Below are 23,328 nucleotides of genomic sequence, written 5' to 3' on the forward strand. Positions count from 1 at the left end.
TAGGATTGCTAAAAATCTATGATTCTACAGTCAACAAAGCATAGGAGGTCTCTTTCCTTGTAGCTAGAGATGTGGTAAGGACAGAGTCTCCCTAACCGCAACACTGCCCAGCTCACATAATTTCACTCCCTCAGGCTAAGCCTGTCAGCATGTCTTCTGGGGAACAAAGAGAGAACTCTGATGAAATTAGGGCAACTAATACCCAAGGGACAATTACAATACAGTGATTATCTTCTACAATTACTGGCTTTTAGTTTTCTCAAAGACTTCAGGTTTATCTATGCTGAATCTCCTTTGGAGAGATCCATGATGTCTCGAAGCAACATAGCTAAATTCCTTTTCATCTAAAAGTCATAGCTTTTGACAGATGCTATCATGGAAGGAAAGAAAGCACATTCTGTACCAGCTGCAATTACAGTTGAAGCATTAAAAAAGAAATGTTAGAGGTGGTGGTGCCATCTAGCTGCTGTAACGGTGAGACGTAACCTATTTTTATAAACTCCTGTAGGAAAGCACATATTCTGATCGTTTTCTATAGGCAATGAAAGGCATAATCTTTCTTTCTGTGTAATATCTCCTTGTAGAAAAGTAAACAGAGGCTCAGAGAGGTCAGTCAGCTAGTCAGCTAGTCAGTAGTAGAACCAGGATCAGAGCCTGGTTCTTTTGATTCCTCTTTCCACTTCCTCACCACTAATGAAAGACAGGTCCCTAATCTTCAAAGCAAGTTCTGCTTTCACATCGCCTCTCCACACAGCAAATAAATCACTACATTACAGAAGTATTCTCCCCTTCTTCCACGTGAAGGAAAATGATTTACTAGTCACCCTCTGAAAACCTATTTCTAAGAAGATCCCCTAAAAAGGAGTCAAAGGTATCTGAAAACTTCCAAAATTAGTAACTAGACAGTTTTGTTTTCCACTTGGAAATCCCTATAACCAGGTTCCAAAACCACCACAAAGCTTGGCCCTGTCATACCAGTATTGAAGATTTCCTCCCTGCTAACACGTAGGAGGACTGACTACACTAAAGCAGAAACATAATCTTTCTCTTTTTCTTCTAGTCACACTTGTATTGCTGTTCCCCAACAAAGGCATTGTCAGAAATGGAAGAAAACGGATTCAATGTCACTAGCCCCTGAGGCCCTCTCCCCAACCTTGCGCCCACAAAGAAACCACTCTCCTTGAACAGAGCAGCACTTCTAAGAAAGTTCCCCAATAAATATATACCTGCATTCATACACGCATATCACCACCACTTTGCTTGAAACCCAGGATATTTTTTTAGTTACAAAAGTAATTTTTTTGTGACTTTTTTGTAATAGTTTAATGAATATAGAAGAGTTTAAAGAAAAAAACAGTTTCTAGCTTCCCTACTCAATCCCATTTTCTTGACAAAATCACCATTAATAATTTGGTGTATAGATTCTTTATATTTTTTATGTTTTATGTTTGTGTAAATATATGTAAAGTATACATATTTATACTGTTTTCTTTCTTCTTCTTCTTTTTTTTTTTTTTTTTTTTTGAGATGGAATCTTGGGTCTGTTTCCCAGGCTGGAATACAGTGGCATGGTCTCAGCTCACTGCAACCTCTGCCTCCTGGGTTCAAGTCATTCTCCTGCCTCCGCCTCCAGAGTAGCTGGAACTATAGGTCCACGCCACCATCCCCAGCTAATTTTTATATTTTTGTAGAGATGAGGTTTCACCATGTTGGCCAGGCTGGTCTCAAACTCCTGACATCAAGTGATCCACCCACCTTGGCCTCCCAAAGCCCTGGGATTACAGGCATGAGCCACTGCGCCCAGCCTATAGAGGTTGTTTGTTTGTTTGTTTGTTTTCCGTGAAATTAGACTAAGCATTTTACTCCAAAATTTGCTTTTTATTCCGTTTATCTTTCTGGATATCCTTCCATGTTGATATGTATAGCCTTAACTCATATGGTTTAATAGCCAAATATGGCCAGGCACGGTGGCTTGCCCTTGTAATCCCAACACTTTGGGAGGCCAACGCGGGAAGATTGCTTGAGCCTAGGAGTTTGCAACCTGCCTGGGCAACATGGGGAGAACCCGTCTCTATAAAAAAAAGAAAATTTAATTATCTGAGCATAGTGGCATGTGCCTGTGGTCCCAGCTGCTGGGGAGGCTGAGGTGGGCTTGAGCCCAGGAGGTTGAAGCTACAGTGAGCCTTATTCATGCCACTGCACTTCAGTCTGGGCAACAGAGTGAGATCCTGTCTCAAAAATAAACAAAAAAATAGCCAAATATAGTCCACAATGGAGCTATGCAATACTTTTTAACCATAATGTACAGAATGGACATTCAAGTTGTTTCTAGTTTATTTTTTCTTTCTTTTTTTTAAATCATGAAGGACATTGTTATAAACATTCCCATATACGTCCATTCTTGTTTTCTGGAGTTCTTATTTCTATAAGATAGAGTCATAAAAAGTGGCATTCCAGTTATTAATTGTTAGATAACAAACCACACCAAAAAAAGCTTATGAATTTAAAATTGGGGCAATGCTTAGCACAACAACTCATGCAGCTTTGGCTGGGGTAGCTCAAATGCGGATAGAGGATTCATTTCCAAGAGCAACCACAAGTTGTTGCTGGCTATTGGTGGGAGCTGTTAACAAAGGACTTCAATTCCTTTCCACCTAGGCCTCTCCATGGACTGCTTAGGCTTCCTCACAGCATGGCAGCTGGTTCTAGAAGCAAATGTTCAAGAGAGAGAAAATGGAAACTGCTAATCTCCTAAGGCCTGGTCCTGGAAACTGGCAGTGTCCTTTCAACCATATTTTATTGGTCAGTCAGTCATAGAGCCCACCTAGATTCAAGAGGATTGGACATAAACCTATCCATAGGAGGAGTAGCAAATTCATATGCAGCCAACTTTAATCTATAAGTAAGATTGCTGAGTAAAATTATCGTGCACATTTTTAGTATGAATAAATATCGCCAGATCCTTTTCCAAAAAGGGTTAATTTATACATTCAGCAAATATTTGAGGGATATTAATTGTTTGGCAATGTTCCAGATATAGAATAGAGCAATGATCAAAACAAACAAAAACTTTTGCTCTGATATAGCTTAAATTTAGAGTTTGTAGATAGATAATCAATCAATCAATCATATGTCAGGTGGTGATAAATGCCATGAGAGAAACAGAGCAGAGAGGGGATGAGGGAGTATCTGGGAGGAGAGGGTGAAATTTTAAATAGAATAGGTAGGGAAGGTTTCACTTTCAATGTAACAAAAAAAAAGTAAGTGCAAGCCCTGAAGGGGTGCATGCTTGAGATGTTGAAAGCAAGGTGACAGGAGGAGAGTGAGCATGGGAGAGCAAGATTGAGAGGTAAAAACGTGTGGGCCAGATTGTGTTGGGGTAATTCATCCTCCCATAACCCTGTCTACTAGTGATATATCCTACACGCATATATTTATTGGACATCTGTATATTCTCTTCTGTGAATTACCCTCAGGATAAAGTAAAATAATAAGACATATGCCCTCAAGGTGAACCCTTTATTGGAAACTAATGAAATGGTTTGTATGAGGATGCCGAAAGAAAAAGATTCAATGCAGGCTACAAAGAAGAGAGCCTGAAGGATGCTGTCCAAAGGCTTAGGTTTGACATGTTAATTGTAGTGCTGTAGAGGGTGGGAGGACAGCCCTGGTCGCAGTATGTAAGGGCATGAGACATTCTGGGGTAAGGCATATCAGAAGGCAAAAGGGACCAAAAAAACAGAACAGTGACAGCCAGACCAGAAAAGAAACTTCATCTTCTTTAGCACTTTTTTTATTAGGAACAGCCTAATAAAAACTTCAACTATCAAAATTAAAGATGACTATTTTAATTGGTTTTCTAATTCTGCAATAGTTTTATAATTGTTTTCCAAAGAAGCCTTCAGCATTGCCGCATGCCTTCTTTACTCATAGTAAAAATCCTGTTCAACTTGCTATGATTAAAAATGTCTATTATTTCTTAGCATTCAGAAAATGCTTTAAAAAAATGTCTTTGGGTTTTTCACAACAATCCTCTTTTGCTAAAGTCTGTAACTCAGAAAAGATTCATTTTGGGAGGAAAGTCTACAGTAAATGCCCTTGGGTCAAAGGCCTCTGTCTAGTAGAGTTCTTCTAAATGAAATCCAGTGAAAGCATATTAGCAAGTTTCACAGTTTATCTATGGCTTTCCATCAATTGTTAGAAAATGGCATTTACATTCCTTAGTCAGTTTAACAAGTGCTTTATTGTTTAGTGATATTTGGACTTCTGACATCTTTAGACCCTTGAGGTTAAAGTCAAAATACTTTAAACAAAACAGCATTTATTCAAGTCATTCAGGGCTTAAAAAGCATTTTTCTCCAAAGAAAGGGATATTAGTGGTCATTTCCCAACCTTTATCCTTAGCATATTATAAATTATAGCTTGTAGAAAACCTCTTGACCAAATATCTTTCAATGGACTATCAGGCCCTTATCAGGAGACTTCTTTGAGAATTTTTGTAAATCAGGAGCTTAAGAATTCTCATACTATTTCTAGTGGTGATAAGGTGGTGAGAAATACATAAGATTTTTCTGGAGTAAAGGACACTTCCTGAGAATATTACAGGAGCTCACAGAAGCAGAATTCACCCAACTAGACCTCCCAGGAACTTTTAATAAAATATTTCATCTGAGCTCTAAATGTGAGCCTACAAGCTTTAAAGCTGGGAAAGTAGGTTTTGTAACCCCCAACCCTGAAGCTTGTGTGAACCCATACCCATAAACACCCATACACACCCACACACATAAACGACTAGCAGAGTATTCTGTACTCTATTAAAACTCAAAAATTATTGTCCTTGTCCTATTTAATATATTTTATTAATTACCTGTTTGAGGACTTAGAAGGCATGTCTATATCTATGATAACAAGGATAAGAGAGTTTAAATAAAGAATCAAGATTTAGTGAACCATGCGCTAAACCTGATATGATAACATTAAACATGGTTGAATGTAAAAGCCTGTAATTAGGTCTGAAATATCAACTGCAAATGTGGGGACTAGAGGAGACCTTGTTTAACATAATTCCTATGACAGAGGCATGTAGGTTAGTTAATTATAAACTTACTGTATGAAACAATGTGATATGACTGCCAAAATAGGAAACAAATTCCAAGTTAGGCTTCATTAATAAAGAAGAATAGTGTCTTGATCCAAGAAGGTAATTTTCCTACTTAATGAGAACACATCTAGAGCATTTTGTCTACTTCTTGGTGACATATAAATAGGATATTGAAAACTAGTACCTATTCAGTTCCTGAAATGTACAGATCAGTTGTTTTCAAACTTTGCTGTACAATTAAAATCTCTTCGGGAGCCTTTCAAAATCCTGATGCGGAGGCTTCACCCTATACCAATTAACCAGAATCTCACAGGGCAGGCCCCAGGCAACAGTTTTGTTTTTTTTTTTAACTTCCAGCAAAGTTTGAAAATCAGGACATTAGATACAAATCTCCATTTTTTTTTTTTTTTTTTTTTTTTGGAGACAGAGTATCGCTCTTGTTGTCCAGGCTGGAGTGCAGTGGCGCGATCTCGGCTCACCGCAACATCCACCTCCTGGCTTCAAGAGATTCTCCTGCTTCAGCCTCCCGAGTAGCTGGGATTACAGGCATGTGCCACCATGCCTCGCTAATTTTGTATTTTTAGTGGAGACAGGGTTTCTCCATGTTGATCAGGCTGGTCTTGAACTCCCGACTTCAGGTGATCAACCCACCTCAGCCTCCTAAAGTGCTGGGGTTACAGGCATGAGCCACCATGCCCGGCCATAAACCTCTATTATCTATCTCCTCTGGCCATTGTCTTTGTCTCTCCTTCTTCCCCACTGCCTCAAATTCCCTCAAATTCGCAACCCTCAAAGTTTTTCCAGAACAACCTCAGTAGCCTACTTAGGCTCCCAGATTCCAGATTGCTTTACTTTAACCCACTTTCCCTTTACCTGCTGCCAAGGTGATCAGACTAGCATGCAAATATTATCAAGTCACTCCCATACTCATAATACTTCGATGGCTACCCACAGTACTCAGCATAAAGCTCAAATTCCATGAAGTGTGTAAGACTCTTTATGATCTGGGCCTTATCTATAACCTATAAATCCTTCTCAAGCCTTCTCTTCTATCACTGCACCGTACACTGTTTTCACTCTTGCCATGCTTCACATGAATATGACGCACTATTTCATATTTTGGTGCCTTTGTTATTACTCAGTCCATATATCTCTTTTCCTTCAAGTCTCAATTTAGTTAACTCTTTAAGAAAACAAAATGTCTTTGATGCCTCTACTATGTGTTCTATAGAATTTAGTATATACTTCTAATTAGCGTCAATCACATTAAATTCTTATGTTTCATTTATCTTTCTCATTATACTCTAAACTTTCTCATTTAGTGTCTAATTCTTATCAGTCTCTGTAATCTCAGTGGGTAGCACAATGCCCAGCCCAATATGACTCTCAAAAAAATTCTTGTAGATGGAAAAAAATAAATGAACAATGATAGACCTGAAAGCCATGTTGTATGAACTGACCATGGACATCTGGTCTATGAGAAAAAGGATGTTACCATTTTAAACATGTAAAACAATGAGACATTCCAGTTGATTACAGAAAATCATCTAGAAGAAACAAGTAGATACTATGGGAGACATATTTTTGCTCACTGTATAATTAGAACTTTTACAAATGAGATGATTCCCGTGAGGTAGGATACTGAATTCAATAGAGCTGTTCAAGCAGTCTGAATGCATTTCTTCACTGAATGGGGAATAGAGGGATGGATAAAGAATTTCTAAAATTCCTTCCAACTCTAAGACTCTTCTTCCATTTTAAAATGAACATTTAGTAAACAAATCAACTGACTTTCAGAAAACATTGGTCTTAGTTAGAGAAACTAGTGTCCAAGAAGAATGAAGACCAGAGCACAAAGAAGTTGGCTGTTTTTAAAAAGGCACCCTTATCATCTATCTGGAATTAAAATAAGGGCATAAACATACTTAGAAAAAGATACACTGCTATTTCAAGCTGTCACTAAATTTCCATAAATCAGGTAAAATTCTTAGAGGAAGTGGATCAGAGAAAACAAATAACTGCTATTTATACCAACCTCCTACCCTAAGCCCTAAAAACTCATGCAAAGATAATGACTAAGAGAATGAAAATAACAAATCAGATCAATTATATTACAACTCTTTTACTGTCCAAGAATAGCCCTCTCTTCCAGTGAAGGAAAACTCAATAAATTACATGTAGAAAGAGCAACTCAATCACCCATGTAGCTTCTGGCTGCCACCAGAAAGATCAGAGGAAGTTATTATTAGAAACTTGGGAAACACACATTAGAAACCACAGCAAAGGCCTTGGATATTTAAAAACTCAAATAGTTTCCATCTGTGTGTCAAGCCATAACCAAATTTGCCCAAACATTGGATATACTGGGGAAAAAGATAAATCAACATGCAAGATTAGTAAATAAGAGATACATGGAAATGGAGACCCCTAGCAAATGTAGTGGTAGATACTGAGGAATTAAAAGTGGGAGGTAAGAAGAATATTTTTACTAGAAAAAAATTGCACAGTTCATCTCTTTCTAAGCTAAAATGTCTGCATTTTACACAGAAATTGAAGAATTTTCCTGGCAAATAAAGCAAAGGAGGAGCTAAAATTAAAGAAGGACATTTCAAATAAAATTGTGGAAACATCCCAAAAGACCCATGGAACATTTGTCAGAGGCCTCCAGATGAGCCTGTATCTCTCCGCATGAGAACTTCATCTTACCCTCACTTACATGGGCTTGTTACCAAGACCTAGAAGCTCTCTTTCAGGAAAGTTTCTTCCCTAAATGTCAAAACCCCCACCTTCTTCTGAGAAGTGTTGCATTCTTACAATTCACCAAACAGTGCTTATTGCAAAGCCTATCACATAGTCTATTCTCAGGTAAGGTTTATAGAATGAATGAATGAACAAACTCATCTAAGGTAAATGGATGTCACCAGATCCCAGTGGCCTTTCTTCTTAAACAAATTTAAAATTATTTAGGTACAAATATTTTGGAGTTAAAATTAGTGTCCTTTAGCACACTACAGTTATGATACAGACCCTGGAATTATCTCTGTTGGCACATCTTTGTAAGTTACTTTCTGGGCAGGGCACAGCGGCTGACGAATATAATCCCAGCACTTTGGGAGGTCAAGGGTGGATCACTTGAGATCAGGAGTTCAAGACCAACCTGGCCAACATGGGAAAACCTCCTCTCTACCCAAAGAAAACCACAAAAATTAGCCAGGTGTGGTGGTGCGCACCTGTAATCCCAGCTACTCAGGAGGCTGAGGTGGGAGAATCACTTGAACCAGTGAGGTGGAGGTTGCAGTGACCCGAGATCACACCACTGCACTCCAGCCTGGGTGATACAGTGAGACTCTATCTCAAAAAAAAAGAAATTACCTTCTGATATAATTCAAAATAGAAGTCTTCCAAATAAAAAATTCTACTCTGTCTTCAAAATTGTTCCTGAATTTTGTTAAAAATGCTCGTCTCAGCCTCCAAGCAAATTCCCTTTAACTTGAGATCATGCTAGTGAACCTGTGCATGCATGTTTTGTCAAATTATTTTTCCCTTGTTGAGATGATGAGTTTTCCTAATCCTTCCAAATGTGTTCACCTGGGCTCTTCCTAGGCTTAGTAACAAGCCCTTTTAATTTATCTGGCCTTAAATTCAGGTCATAGTCTATGGCCATAAATGTACCTTTCCTCTAACGAATAAAACTAACCTTTACAGGGTGTCTAATATTTTTATTAAATGAACAAATAGATTCTCAAAACCCAAGCCCCACCACCCACCCCTCATAGTAGCAGCGTATCACTAGACAGAATGCTACCTTTTCATATACTAACTCTCCTTTTTCTGCAATCACAACCAAAGCTAGATCAAGGACGTGGAATTCTTTTTAGGCTTACCAGCCTGGTTTCCATTATCTTCACATGTATTTCCTTTAGGGCCTGACTGTTTTAAAATCTTTTGTTATGGGGTTTGGAGTGCATCTTGAAATATAAATATTTATGGTGAATAAAAGCAAAGGCAAGTCATACAATTTTACAGCCAAAACTCCTCCCTGGACATTATAAGCTCATTTACTGCAAAGGAAGTTCTCCTTATTGGGGAGAAAGAAGCAAGGGGATGAAGCATATCACTAAAATATTTAAGGATAAGCAGCCCAGCTCTGTATTATTCACAGCCAACTTGTGTTGCTGCTCAGAGACACCTAACTCCCCACAGGTAGTTTGCTAATGCCCTTCTTATCTTACCTTTTTCAGAGCTCTATAAGCCCCCAAACTACAAGAGGATCCTAAGTTCATTGAAAATAAAATGGAAATTGTGAGCAACTGAACTTCAGAGCAGCAGCCCCTTTACTCTGTCCCACTCTAAGACATGCTTTAACCTCCACCTTCAGCCACTGCCAAAGCCATTAAGTTAAACTTACACCATCCAGACAACCTTGCTCCCCAAGCAACTAGTCTGGACAACTGTTCTGCCTCAGCAACCTCAGCTCCCAACATAACTCGTTAACCATTAAACTGTTCCTCTAATATCTCTTCAGGGGCCAAGTCCAGGCTGCAAGCAATGTAAATCCGTTCTACTGGAAAGAGTTGTATACAACAGAATGAAAACTGGCTCAAGGTCAAGAAAAAAAGAACAGAAAACAAGGCTACAAAAGACAGAGTGATTACATTCATACATCATTTTTGCAGTTCTTTTCTGACTTTCCTCTCAAAATTACAAAGAAGCATACTTTAAAACCATCCAAGTCCATGGTTTCCTTTATTCTTTCATTTAGAATCCTAGCTCTACACATTCAGAAACTATGACATGATTTTAAAATGCTACATGAATATATATATATGCATATATATGAGTATGTGTATATTTATATATTTTTTTTAATTCCAAACACATTTTAAGAGATCCCAGAGGCAAAAGACACACTGTATCATGTTTATTAAGACAGAAAGAAAAGTCTTCACGATTGCATATGTCAAATAAGTAAGTATTGACTTATGCTTAGCCAAAGCTAAAGACAAGCCAAGATACACTGGGAAACTGCAGAGGATTTTCCTCTTATCAAGCAGATACAGATACAATCCTATCCAGATACAGAATGAAACTTCAAATATGTAATTATGTTTGAAGAACTGAGAGAACAAAATGCCCCAGATACCTAAAAGAACCATCTATGCTTATTATCTGAGTTTCCCATCTGATTCTTCCCTCTAATTCGATCCATTTTTGCCCATCACCATTAAACTGTGACTCTGACCAGACAGGAGATAGGGTATAAAGACCATGCCCTCTCTCATTTTCCACCCTCTGATCTCCAGCTTATGCTTCCCGTTGGCAAAGGAATCTGGCTAATGAGATGCAGAAAGGTTAGCCTCCCAGAGCAAAGAAGGTGAAGCAGTGTGCAGAGTAGACTTTGTGGGCAAATAGAGAAGAGCTAACACATATCCCTGCCAATGCTTCATAGAATTGTGGAGCTGATAAAATAAGATGATACACATGAAGGTGTCCAGCATAATGCCTGCTACACAGAAAGCACTCAGTATACATGAGTTTCCATTCCCCCTAGCCTTGCAGGGCTTTCATGCCACCAAGCGTAAATTGAGGGAGTGGAATTCACAGGGAGCTATATGGTTCCTTCAAACTCTGATTTCTACAACTATGTCCCAACTCCTCTTTTATAAAATAAAACCCTCATCTTGAGAAACTTTATCCGGTAGCTCATCAAGAGTCTTCATTTTGCTGTTTAAGAGCATTGAGAAACCATCCTCCAAATACGGTTTTTCTCCAGACTTAACAGAAAGCATATCTTTAGAAACCAAGAGGGAAAAATTAGGATTGTGGTAGATATACAGATAATTCAGCAAAAATATCCAGATGAAAAGTATTGCTCAAAAAATCTTTCCCCATTCCACCTAAGCCTCCCTTGCCCTTAGCAATGTGTCTTAACTTTAATGCACTAACATAAGCTAAATAACACAATGACTGAATCACAATGATTCATCCTAAGTGCATGGACATGTATCTAGAATAGCATGATTACATTTATTCTAGTCAAATAATTTGAGATCAGAAAACTAAAAGGGAGAGCAAGTTCAAATGCTGATGAGTAGGATGAAAAGCAGAAGACACAAAAAGAAAAGGTTTTTTTTTTTTTTGAGACTGAGTCTTGCTCTGTTGCCCAGGCTGGAGTGCAGTGGCGCCATCTTGGCTCACTGCAAGCTCCGCCTCCCGGGTTCACGACATTCTCCTGCCTCAGCCTCCCTAGTAGCTGGGACTATAGGCGCCCGCCACGACACCTGGCTAATTTTTTGTATTTTTAGTAGAGACGGAGTTTCACCGTGTTAGCCAGGATGGTCTCGATCTCCTGACCTCATGATCCACCGGCCTCGGCCTCTCAAAGTGCTGGGATTACAGGTGTGAGTCATCGCACCCGGCCGAGAAAAGTTTTTATCCTGAGCTTTGATTGAGAGATATTTTTTCCCAAATCAGATTTTTCCTCCTCTGTATATTTGTGCTTCATTCTTAAACTGTCCTGAATGGTCTTTTGAGACATGTTTGTTCTCATAGTTCACAATGTTAACCAAGCATACTTCTTTGCAAATGCTGTTCCTTCTGGAAAATGCTCACTCTCTTCAACACCCCACTCCTGCCACTCCCCCAAATACCCACAAATCTAGCTGTCTTACTTGTTCAAAGCTCTGCTGAAACATCGTCTTATCAGATAGGTCTTTCCTGACCAGTTTATCCAAATAATAGTTCCACCCCATCACTCTCTTTCTCTCTGACCTTAATTTTTCCCAGAAGCATTTATTACCCATGACATATTATGTATTTTTATTTGTCTGTTTCTAACTAATTAAGTCCCCATGAAATCAGAGACTATGGCTATTTAGTTCCTAATAGCCTATACCAGTTTCGATAAATGACGAATATGCAAAAAGCATTCGTTCTTGGCTGAAGATAGGCAACGGATACAATGGACAAAGGATTCTGTACTTTGGGTTGCAAAGTAACTACAAGACATGTGATTTATTTTATCTTTAACACATTCACACCTAAATCTACATATCCAAATTTGTATTGTCCTGTTGAAGGTCTTCCTCTTTGGTATCTATTCACTTACTCTCGTTAAGCTGCCATTACTTACAATTTCTTGGAGTTCCATTTCATTATTGACATCAGCTCAAATTATTTTGAGTAGCCTCAGCTGTAGCAAATATAGATGAATCTAATTTTCTTAAATAACCCCAAATCACTCAGAATAAGGAATGGCAAGTGGAGTGAATAAGCAGGCTGAGTGATACCAGTTGTGGTCAAATATTAAGGATGACTATAAGGTAGTAAGAGCTCAGTTATTCAGAAACTGGACTAAAGAGAATCACCCACACAAAATGAGTCACCAGTGTTTTTGCACAGGGGCCAAATCATCACAATAAATGCACCATCTTCAAGTCAGCACTCTGAGAGAAAACTGCCATTTTGATGCAAAAATTCTAATCATAGCTTTAAAACTCAGGTCATTACCTCCAGTTCATATAGGAGTCTCAGATTTTTTTCTCTAAAGAGTTCAATGGGAGTTTAAAATAAATAGTTTACACAAATTTCAAATCCTTGAACTCTTAGAGGACATATTTTTAAATGTACATCCTCACATTGTGTTTTCAATTTATAAGACATTATTTTCCTTTTCCTAGAAGCCTAAAGCCATGTCAGGAGACTCATGATTAGGTACTGCAGTGAGAACTATCAGAGGAGAACATGTCCAACAAAATGATCTCTCGTGTTTATAGAAATTCACAGTTTACACAGGAACTAATAAAATGAACAAAAAGGAAGGTTTCCTGACCCAATAAGGTTTCTGGGAAATATCAGCACTTTGTATGAACCAAGCCAAAATGAGGCATTTCAGCCAGTCACAAATGCACACCATGTTTACCACAAATCTGAGACAAAGCTTAGAATAGCTTGAAACTTGAAAAGTACATTAGGTAATATATATAAAATTCTTGGCTGGGTTGTTAAATACATCATGGAAACATGAAGATCCAGTAATGTTTCTAGGAAGTAGACTCATGGGATTAAGAGATCACCTGGTCTTTCTTCCTCAAATTTACCACCAAACATAAACATGCCCCTTGCGGGTAGACAGGCCCCCTTGAAGTTAACTCCCATCAAAGAGATACTTTATAAAACAGGCCTTTTGGAGCTTGAGGTAGGCCAGATAATGCCCCAACAAAGATATCAAATTGTAATTTCTAGAACCTGTAAATGTTATCTGTTAAGTGTTAAATTAAATAAGCAGGAGGCCATTAGCCAGAGGCTCTCTCCATACTTTGAGTTCCTACATAACAAACTATAACCTAACTCAGTAGTAAACAAACCAGAACCTAATTCAGAGTATATTTTGTAACAAATAGCCATTTTATCCAATCACAAACAGCGAAGCTTCAGCCAATCACAGGTAGCCAACAAATTAGACCATATCCGTTAACGCAAATGCCTCATCACACCATGCCCAAATAAGGCAAACATCTAGCTAAAGCCAATCAGGTGATTTCTTCACTTTGGTCCCATGTTAAGCCTATAAAAGCTTCCTGCTCACACAGATGGGTGGAGCTCTTTGAACCTCTGCCAATTCTGAGAAGTGCCCAATTCATGAATCACTATTTGCTCAAATAAACTGCATTACATTTGTCTGAAGATTTTCTTTTAACATGAAGCAAAAGGGATTTTGCAGGTGTGGTTATGTTGAGGATCTTCAGATGGTAAGATTATCTAGGTGGGCCTTAAATGCAATCACATGTATCCTTACAAGAGTGAGCAGAAGGAGATTTAACAAAGAGACACACAGAAGGGAACATATGTTTTCATTCCTCTTCAGTACATACATAGGAGGAGATTCCTGATTGTTTAACATTTTTTGGAACTGCCAAACTGTATTCCAAAGTGACTGTACTATTTTACATTCCCATCAACAGTATATGAAAGTTCTAATTTCTCTAAATTCTCACCAACACTTATTATGATGTGTCATTTTTTCATTATAACCATCTACTGAGTATGTATTATGGTTTTTATTTGCATTTCCCTGCTGGCTAATCATGTTGACCATCTTTTCATGAGCTCATTGGCATTTCTCTATCTTTGGAGAAATGTCTATTCAGATCCTTTGCCCATTTTTATTTGAATTATTTGTCTTTTTATTATTGAGTTGTAAGAATCCTTTATATATTCTACATTCAAGTCCCTTAGCAGATACATAGTTTGCAAATATCTCCTTCCTTTCTGTGTGTCATCATTTCACTTTTTTAAAGAACAAAAGCTTTTAATTACGATGAAGTTGAATTTATTTTCTTCTAAGAGTTTTATAGCTCTTATATTTAGGTTTATTATCTACTTTGAGTTAATTTTTGTGTGTGGTATAAGGTATTAAGAGTATGAAAAGACAAGCAACAGATGGGGAAACAATATTTCTGAATAAAATTTCTAAAAAAAAAAAAACTTGTATCTAGAATATACAAAAAACTCACAAAACTCAGGTATAAGAAAATAATCTAAGTTTTAAAAATAGCAAAAAAAAAATTTGAACAGACACTTCACCAAAAAAGTAATAGGGATGGCAAATATGAATATGAAAAAAAGTTCACCATCAATGATCATTGAGGAAATGTAAAAAAAAGGCTGCAATAAGTGTCATTATTTACTTATTATAATAACTACAATTTAAAAAATCTGGCAATACCAACTGTTGGCAAGAATAAGAAACAAAAACAATATTCCCATTGGTAATGCAAGATGGTAGAGTCACTCTGGAGAAGAGTTTGACGGGTTCTTACAAACTGAAATGCACATTTACCATGTGACCAAGCAGTCTCACTCCTAAATATTTATCCTGAAATGAAAACCCATGTTCACATACATGAATTTTTGTACATTCACATACATGAATTGCTATAATTGCCAAAACTTGGAAACAACCCAAATGTCTCTCAATTGGAGACAAATTATTGATACACACAGTAGCATGGATGAATCTCAAATGCATTTTGCTAAGTGAAATAAGCCAGCCTGAAAAGGTTATATACTGCACGATTCTATTTATATGATATTCAGGAAAAGGCACAATGAGAGGGATGGAGAACAGATAAGTGGTTGTCAAGAGTTAAGGTTGAGGGGATCACCATGAGGGAACTTCAGGGGAGGATGATCAAACTGTTTTGTATCCTTTGGTTACACAATTTTATGCATTTGTCAAAACTCACAGAACTGTACACATACCCAAAAGTGAATTTTGCTGTATATAAATAAAAAACAAATCTTAAAAAGTGTGGGGGGCACAGAAGATTTGTGAAAATGTTTAAGAACACAAAGGAATCAGCAGCAGCTCTGAATGTTTTTTTGTGAATCCAGTAGTAACCTATGGATCTCTTCAGTTTAGCTCCTTATAATTTTTATGTTGCTTTAAAAGAACTAGTTAATAACAATGTTATAGCTCTAGTTTTCATTTTATCCATGAATATAAACAGGCATTGTGAAAAAAGCATGTGTTCTTTTGCTTTATCTCAAACAAAGCCTGATGCAACAAAGCAATTTCCATGGTAATGACACTTTTTATTCAACATAAAGACAAATAACTGGATAAAAGTACATAGTTAGATGATGCAGAATGTGTGTATGCCTGGACTAAACCAGGCCTCTAGCCAGATGATTAGCCACATCGAAAAATTTCTTTATTTTTCTAAGAGCAAACTCAGTCTCTCCCTTTTGTGCTCATCTTCCCCAGTGAAAAATGGCAACCTAAAGGCCTTTCTCTGGCTGTCATTTGTTACTGAAAATACAATGAAGAGAGAAATAGTCATCCAAAATGTCTAGTGTTGAGGAAGTCCCACCACTACCCCCTGTCTGAGCACTGAATGTGTATATGTGGGTGGTTTTTTAGGGTGGAGGATAATTAAAGATGAATAGCTAATGAATTAAGTACCACTCCGTTTATCTCTAAGAAATTGCAAATGACCTTATCATTGAACAGAATCTCAGAAACTATTTAATTCAGCTCCTTGTTTAAGAGATGAAAAAGAAATGGGTTAGTAAGTGATCAGACAACTGGATTGCGGCAAAACCAGAACTGGAACTGCAATATTCTGACTCCTGATACTCTACTCAGGGCCAGCTTCAGGGGCATGTGACTTGTGAAATCTCACAGGGCCTGGTTTTCAGAAGGGCCCCTCTCTTGGTTTAATGCTCGGCTGTACCTGTCTTGAAATTCTTGGTAATATTTGAAAAAAGGACCCCGTATTTTCATTTTGCACTGGTCCCGCAAATTACACAGCTGATTCTGACTCTACCCTCTCAAAGATTGTTTCATAGAAAGAAAACTTCATACTCCAGCCAATGGCATGAAGACAAATTCAAGAGATAAGGAAATTAAAAACAAACAAACAAACAAAACAGGAAAAAATTATAGAAGAAAAAAATACTTCTTGTGCATCCTATAGAACATCAGTCACCATGTGACTGAAAAATGGCTTCATGGGAAATAATACAGATAGAACCCCAACAAATTTCACCAGAGGCCAGCCCAAGCTCCCAAGAAACCACTAGTAAGCAGTGATTGAGTGGGAAGAGGATGGGGTACATCCAATCTAGCTGTACAATTTACCTGAACATCCTCTGACCAAAAAGGCCTTAATAGATCTGATTGGTCTTCTCATGCAGGAATCACACTAAACATCTCATCATATGGAAAAAAATAATCTCCAGATAAGAGGCCCTCAAAAGGTGTTTATATGCTGAAGTATACACAGATTTGCCAGTGGGGAATTTGGAGGTGTCTAATTGTAAGAAATGTTACACCAGGCAATAATACCAATGAGGACATTAGGGAAACCTAATCCTTTTGTCCATTAGTGGTGCATTTGACAGGAGGTGGAGAGTCCCTGATCATGAATTACTTTCTTTCAACAAAAATTATATTTTTAGTGAAGCAATATTGAGAAAGATTAAAAACACCAATCCAAGTCTAAGTTTTACCACTCACAGTGCTATGACTGCCAAGTTATATAAGCCTTCTCAGTCTCTATTACTTTATCTGTAAAATAAGGACCATAAATTGACCCTAATTTGTTAGCTTGCAAGGACCTATTTTCCCCAAAGTTTGTTCCACAGAAGACAAGGTCTGGAGAATAGCAAAAGTAATCTGTGAGTCAAACAAGTTTTGAAAACAATTGGTAATACGGTTTGGCTGTGTCCCCATCTGAATCATATCACATACCACAAAGGAAAAGATTATTAATTTGATTGTATTGAAAAGAGCATAAAACAGGTACAAGGTGGGAGAATGTATTAGCAACATAGGACTTTTTATATTTAGGAACTCCAAATCAATTAAAAAAAAGAAACACTAATAGAATAGAAAAAAGGGCAAGAGGCTTGAACAGGAAAATCATGAAAGGGGAAATCCAAGTGATCAATAAATCTATGTGGATGTATTCAATCTCATTTCTAATCAGACAAATACTGTCTTTAACTTAAGACAGAATGAGATTCCTACTTTACTCCAAACTAATTAAGAAAATTAGAAAGTCTGAAAATACAATGTGTTGGGTAAGGAAATTGAGCAAATGGAAACTCTGGTACTGTGCTGCAAGTAGTACAGATTGGTAGAAACACAATGGAAAAAGGAAGTGGGCATTATTTACTATAATTGAGTGTTTGCATATTCTATGATTCATCAAGTCTACTCCAGGGTACATTCCCTTGAGAAATTCTTACGTATTTGCATCAAGATACATACACAAGAACGGTCCTAAAACTCTTGTCCCTAGCTATCCCAAACTGGAATTTTGGAAACAACAAAGTGTCCATCAACAGTAGGATGAATACATTTTGGTATGTATCTCCAAAGTAATACTACACAGCAATAAAAATAATTAAACTACATAGAACAAGATGGTCAGCTCTTAAACTACATAGAACAAGACGGTCAGCTCTTAAAAACAAACTATTCAGTGAAATAAGAAAAGATGACAAAATAAATATAAATCCATTTCATATGGTTCAAAAATGAGCCCTATGCACTAGAATACAGAGTTTAGTAATGCTTACCATTAAAGTAAACTTCTCAGACTATTTACTTATAAGCAGGTAGCAAATATTAAAAAAAATTTTGAACACAAGGGAAAGGTAGAGATCTATTCAAACACTTATTCCTCATATGTACATTTTATAGGAAAGGAGACAGATGAGGTAGTTATTTTTAGTCTAGATATATAAAGAATGAAAGTTTAGTTAAAGATATTAATAGTAGATTTTTGACTGATAGTCAACTGAGAGCAAAACTGATGAGTGAGTAGTTTCCAAAACAAATCTATATCTCATTAAAGTTTACTGGAAAATTGTTCAGGCACTGTATGAGGGATGCTAATCTTCTCCCCAAAAGTGTTTGTAAATTAAATCACAGAGACGAGCTCTATTCCAGACCAGGCTCGGGCAACTCTTACAGTATGTAGTGCACAAAACTAAAAAGCAAGCTGAGGAAATCATTGCCATAAAGCTCAGGACAGTGGTTATCTGGCCAAGACAGAGAGAGGAGATGGGGATTGGGAAGAGACACACAGGGTTTCTAGAGCCCCATCCATGTTTTCTCATGTAGTTACAGTTATACATGTGGCTTTATTTTCTTTATTCATTAAACTGTACATTTATTTCTGAGGTGCTTTTCTGTGTATGTGTTATATTTCTTGACTTGAAAGTTAATAAAGGGCAGATGAAAATCTGAGGCACAGAGTGATTAAGTGATTTATATTTTTCACACTTGCATGACATATGTTACATGAGTGTAAAATTTATAGGGTGGAACCCTAGGATATAGTGAGCTTCTCTGGTACTTCAGAAAGCCTCACATTCTTCCCCCACCTCACAGTGACTGCTTCCTCCTCTATTCTCACAGAGCTCATTGTTTAGACCTCTTACTGGCAATTGACGATGGACTGCCTCACAACCATTCATGTACTATTATTGAACCTTTCTCATTCATATGCTTTGTCTTCCAGCTCACGGCTTGGCTCACAGTATCCTTCTGATACGCATTTATTACTAAAAAGCAATACAAAGTCTAAGTGTGAATCCCACATCAGAGCAGGTCATGTTAAGGCAATCTTCCAGTATTTACCATCATTTCTAAAACACGTTTCTCTAGTCCAGGTCTGAGGGTTAGACATGAAGGCTCATGTCTCTCGCATTGGTCAGAAAACTCTCCTACTCTCTCTACAAACCAGTACACTCTTGGTGACATGAAAGCATTTGTTATCTAATTAGGTGTCAGCTTCTTTAGAGACTCATAAGGACCTTGAGGCTTAGAGCTTGCTGACCAACTCCTGTGCTGAAAAAAAAAAAAAAAAGCAATAGCATGGGCAGTAATCTGATATAGAATGAGAACACAATTACCTTATTTGCTCTATCTTTGTGAGGGATGGACTTAATTCTGATCGTGAACTGCTTTCCTAATATGAATTCACTTTGCAGTTTCCATTCAAACCACAAAATTCAATCATTCTTTCAACAAATATTGTTAAGTATCTACTACATGCATATTGCCATGCCAAGACACAATGATATAAGACATCCTGAATTTTCTTTTTAGAAACTCTCTGCCAAACACATTCTCATTTATTGATAGCTATTATCAAGTCAGAAATACATAAGTCATTAATTAGCAAAGAACCCTTCCCTTTGTAATAGGATGTTGTAACCAAGGTACCAAAATATAATAGCTATGACATTACAAGATAGAATGCTAGACCAAGATGCAAATTTCAAAAGGGGTAGTTGGAAGAAATAATTGCAAAACTCTCTAATCCGTTACATTCATCCAGAGGATAAAAAATGGGAGAATAATACAGCTTGAGAAGAAAGATTTCCTCAGAGAATGTTATGCTATCTTTTTTCCTCCAAGAAAACGGCACAGAAGTAGTACTAGCTCCTAAAATAAAGTCTAATGAAAGAGACTTTGAGGACATTACTTAGAGAATCTCTAACGGGTATTTCAGTGGAGAAAATTATTGGTGTTTTATGAGTCTTTTCCTTCCCAAAGGGGAATAGAGGGCTTCCTTCTTGACCCCAGCCAAGAGAAATTAGGCTACAAAGAGAGCACTCAGATAGCTTTTCATTAATCTTCTTCTGTTAGAGGGGAACTCACTGAAATGGTGTCTGATCCTGCCTGAAAACTCTGAAAAGCAAGAGATAGGTTGGCTTGTGGCTTTGGCAGCCAGAAAGAAGTTGCTGCATTTCCTGTATTTTGCTGAGGCGAAGATGAAGAAGGGATTCCCATGAGATGGGTATGGAACAGTACACACAAGAGCCAGTAATTTAGGTCTTGTCAAAAGAGCTCCCTGGAAGAAACTGAAGACAAGGCCTCAGATTCCCAGGTAGCTTACCTATTTGTCTCCCTTTTTCTGCCCTTGTGTGTTTCACTACAGAAGTCAAATATTTCTGCTAAAATGTAAGTCAAGCTCAGATTCTGCTTAAAACCCTCCAATGGCTTTCTGTGTCACAGGAGTAGAAAGCCAAGTCCCTACTATAACCCACGATGCTACCATGCCCTCATCTCGTCTTCTCTCTTCTGTGCACTGCAGCTATGCTGGCCTGCTGCTGTTTCTCACACTTCTCAGAGCTACTGCACCTGAGATTCCCTCCATCTGGAAAGATTCAATGCCTTGGAGGCTTTAGTCACCTTCTTCATGAGGCCTTCCCTCTGAACCCCATTTGAAATTTCAACCCTTCTCCTTCCCCCAAACTCTCCATTTCACCTTTCCTGGTTTTTGTTCTCTTTAGCTCTCATCACTGTTTAATTTGCTATATATACACATGTATATTTGTATATGTATGTATGTATTTATATTATATATGTACATGTATTATATATGTGTATATATTATGTACATATAATAAATATCTATAGTATAACTGTATGTATGTGTGTATGTAAAATCTTCCCACTAGAAACACAATTTCCATAAAAGAATTTTTGTCTGTTTTGTTGACTGCTGCGTGTACTCAGGGCCTAAACCAGTGCCTGAAACAGAGTAGTTGCTCAACAAATATATGTTGACTGAATAAATGCACTTTAATAAAATGTTTGTGAATGACAATATTTCCTAGGTTGTTGTTCCAAAGAGGAAGCCAAAGGGGAAGAAACAGAAAACCCCAGGGGAAGAAACCAGTAAATCCACACACAAGTTTGCTCGACATGGTAAGATTTGAGCCTCTCGTTGCTTTGTTTTTCACATGCCCAGTGCAAAGATTTCAGGCAGTAATAGTTATGATCTATGTTTTTCCCTTTTGTTTCCCTTCTGTTCTTGGTATTTAATAAAAAAAATCTGCAACTCCATCATTAGTGCATCATAAATCACCCATGTTACGCAGTCTGTTCAGGCAGCTCTGATAGGAACCTCCTGGGCTGGATGAGAACTCAAGCAAGCCAGGAAATGTTTCAGTGGACATGAAAGCCAAGGGAAAAATCCTAGGGCATGAATCATGTGGGATTTCAATTTCCCTGATGCCAAGTATGATAACTATCATGGATTCCAAACAGTGTTGACAATACATGTTTTCTTTGACTGCAAAATTTCATAGAAATGTGTTCCTACCCTTAAAAATCCTGGGTCCAGAATTCAATTGTTATAGGAAGTAAAAGTTGCCAGGTGGCAGAGGAATGAAGAGCAGGAACACTGCAATGTTAGAGATGCCTTCTTACCTCCCCTTCTGTGTGACTTCTACAGTTTCTTTCAAGATAGCCAAGAAACTCCAACAATTTAAGAAAAAAAGAAGAAAAAATATTAAAATTAGGTGAAAAATGTGTAAAAAACATCTCAGATCCAAATAAACTGGTTAAAACACAAACACTTGTGCATACACATGAACATGCATGCACACACATGACCACATGTGGCATACATGTTCACATGCACATTCATAGGCACCTTCTGAGGACCTCTCATTCCAATAGGTCACAAGAGAATCACAGCCCTAAACCTCTTAGGCTTTTTCAAATGTCATAGTCTATTATACATAAGAGTTCATTCATTCTACCATACATGCCTCTCAACCCACTTCTGCATGATGAGGAAGGTTGAAGTTACAAATGAAGATGGTGGAGGCTTTCTCAAAGCCTTCTGTTCATGTTTTTATCCAGATTAACCGTTTAATCCAAAAATCTCTCCACTCATCATCAGCTATGAAAACTCTATCCATTCTGCAGATTCTAGTTTTTTTTATTGTTTTGATTTTTTGTTGTTGTTGTTTTGTTTTGTTTTTTGAGACAGAGTCTCGCTCTGTCACCCAGGCTGGAGTGCAGTGGCACAAACTCAGCTCACTGCAACCTCCGCCTCCCAGGCTCAAGTGATCCTCCTGCCTCAGCCTCTCAAGTAGCTGGGACCACAAGTGCGCACCATCATACCCAGCTAATTTTTTGTATTTTTGGTAGAGACAGGGTTTCACTATATTGCCCAGGTTGGTCTCAAACTCCTGAGCTCAAGCAGTCCACCTGCCTCGGCCTCCCAAAATGCTGGGATTACAGGAGTGAGTCACCATGCCCAGCCCCAGGTTCTAGTTTTGATTTTCCTCCTTCAATATAATTGGAGATATACCTCCACCCAGTTATTTTCACAGAAAGCCTCTGAAATCAAAGAACACATCCCTTTTGCACAACTGCAGAGTCAAATGTTAACCAGCTCAATGTTTCACACTGTGCTCCAAAGAAAAATGTTTTGTGATACTTTAAAAAACCGAAACCAAACCAAACAAACAAAAACAAAATAGACTTCCTGGCCAAACAGTGTTAGAAAACCCTATATACTCTGTCCTTTTCTTGGAGATTCACAATCTATATTAGCATAGTAAAGGCCCCGAAAATCCTGCAATGAAGAAATGTGATTAACTTGGTTTAACCCAGTATTTTCCAAAGTTGTTTGACCAAATTTTCCAGTTTTCGTATATCAATAAACCTTTCTCGGAAAGCTAGTTTTACATGGAACACAGTGTAGGAAACACTGATCTAATATAACTCCCTCAAGGGAAGAGATGATGAAATTGAGGTCTGGAGAAGTAAAATAACTGAATAAAGACCACAAGCTACTTTGTCAAGGAGCCAGTAGTACACCTCAGGTCTCTTGTCTTCCAATCCAATGCTCCTTCATGATACCACCATGATAAAATTATATTATGGTATGAAATTATAGGCTTAT

At 37.7% G+C, this 23,328-nt stretch overlaps 2 annotated features.

Moving 5' to 3' along the window:
* Positions 1–526: an enhancer, noted in NCBI's record as "NANOG hESC enhancer chr5:33299775-33300300 (GRCh37/hg19 assembly coordinates)". NCBI's record gives its function as "activates a minimal SCP1, AML or CMV promoter by ChIP-STARR-seq in naive H9 embryonic stem cells {active_cell/tissue: H9 hESC(naive)}" and the evidence as "EXISTENCE:reporter gene assay evidence [ECO:0000049][PMID:30033119]".
* Positions 12,206–13,405: an enhancer, noted in NCBI's record as "MED14-independent group 3 enhancer chr5:33311980-33313179 (GRCh37/hg19 assembly coordinates)". NCBI's record gives its function as "activates an origin of replication core promoter dependent on BRD2, BRD4, P300/CBP and CDK7 cofactors, and independent of MED14, by STARR-seq in HCT116 cells {active_cell/tissue: HCT116}" and the evidence as "EXISTENCE:reporter gene assay evidence [ECO:0000049][PMID:35650434]".

The sequence above is a fragment of the Homo sapiens genome, chromosome 5 (assembly GCF_000001405.40).
Source record: "Homo sapiens chromosome 5, GRCh38.p14 Primary Assembly".
Taxonomy (NCBI): Eukaryota; Metazoa; Chordata; class Mammalia; order Primates; family Hominidae; genus Homo; species Homo sapiens.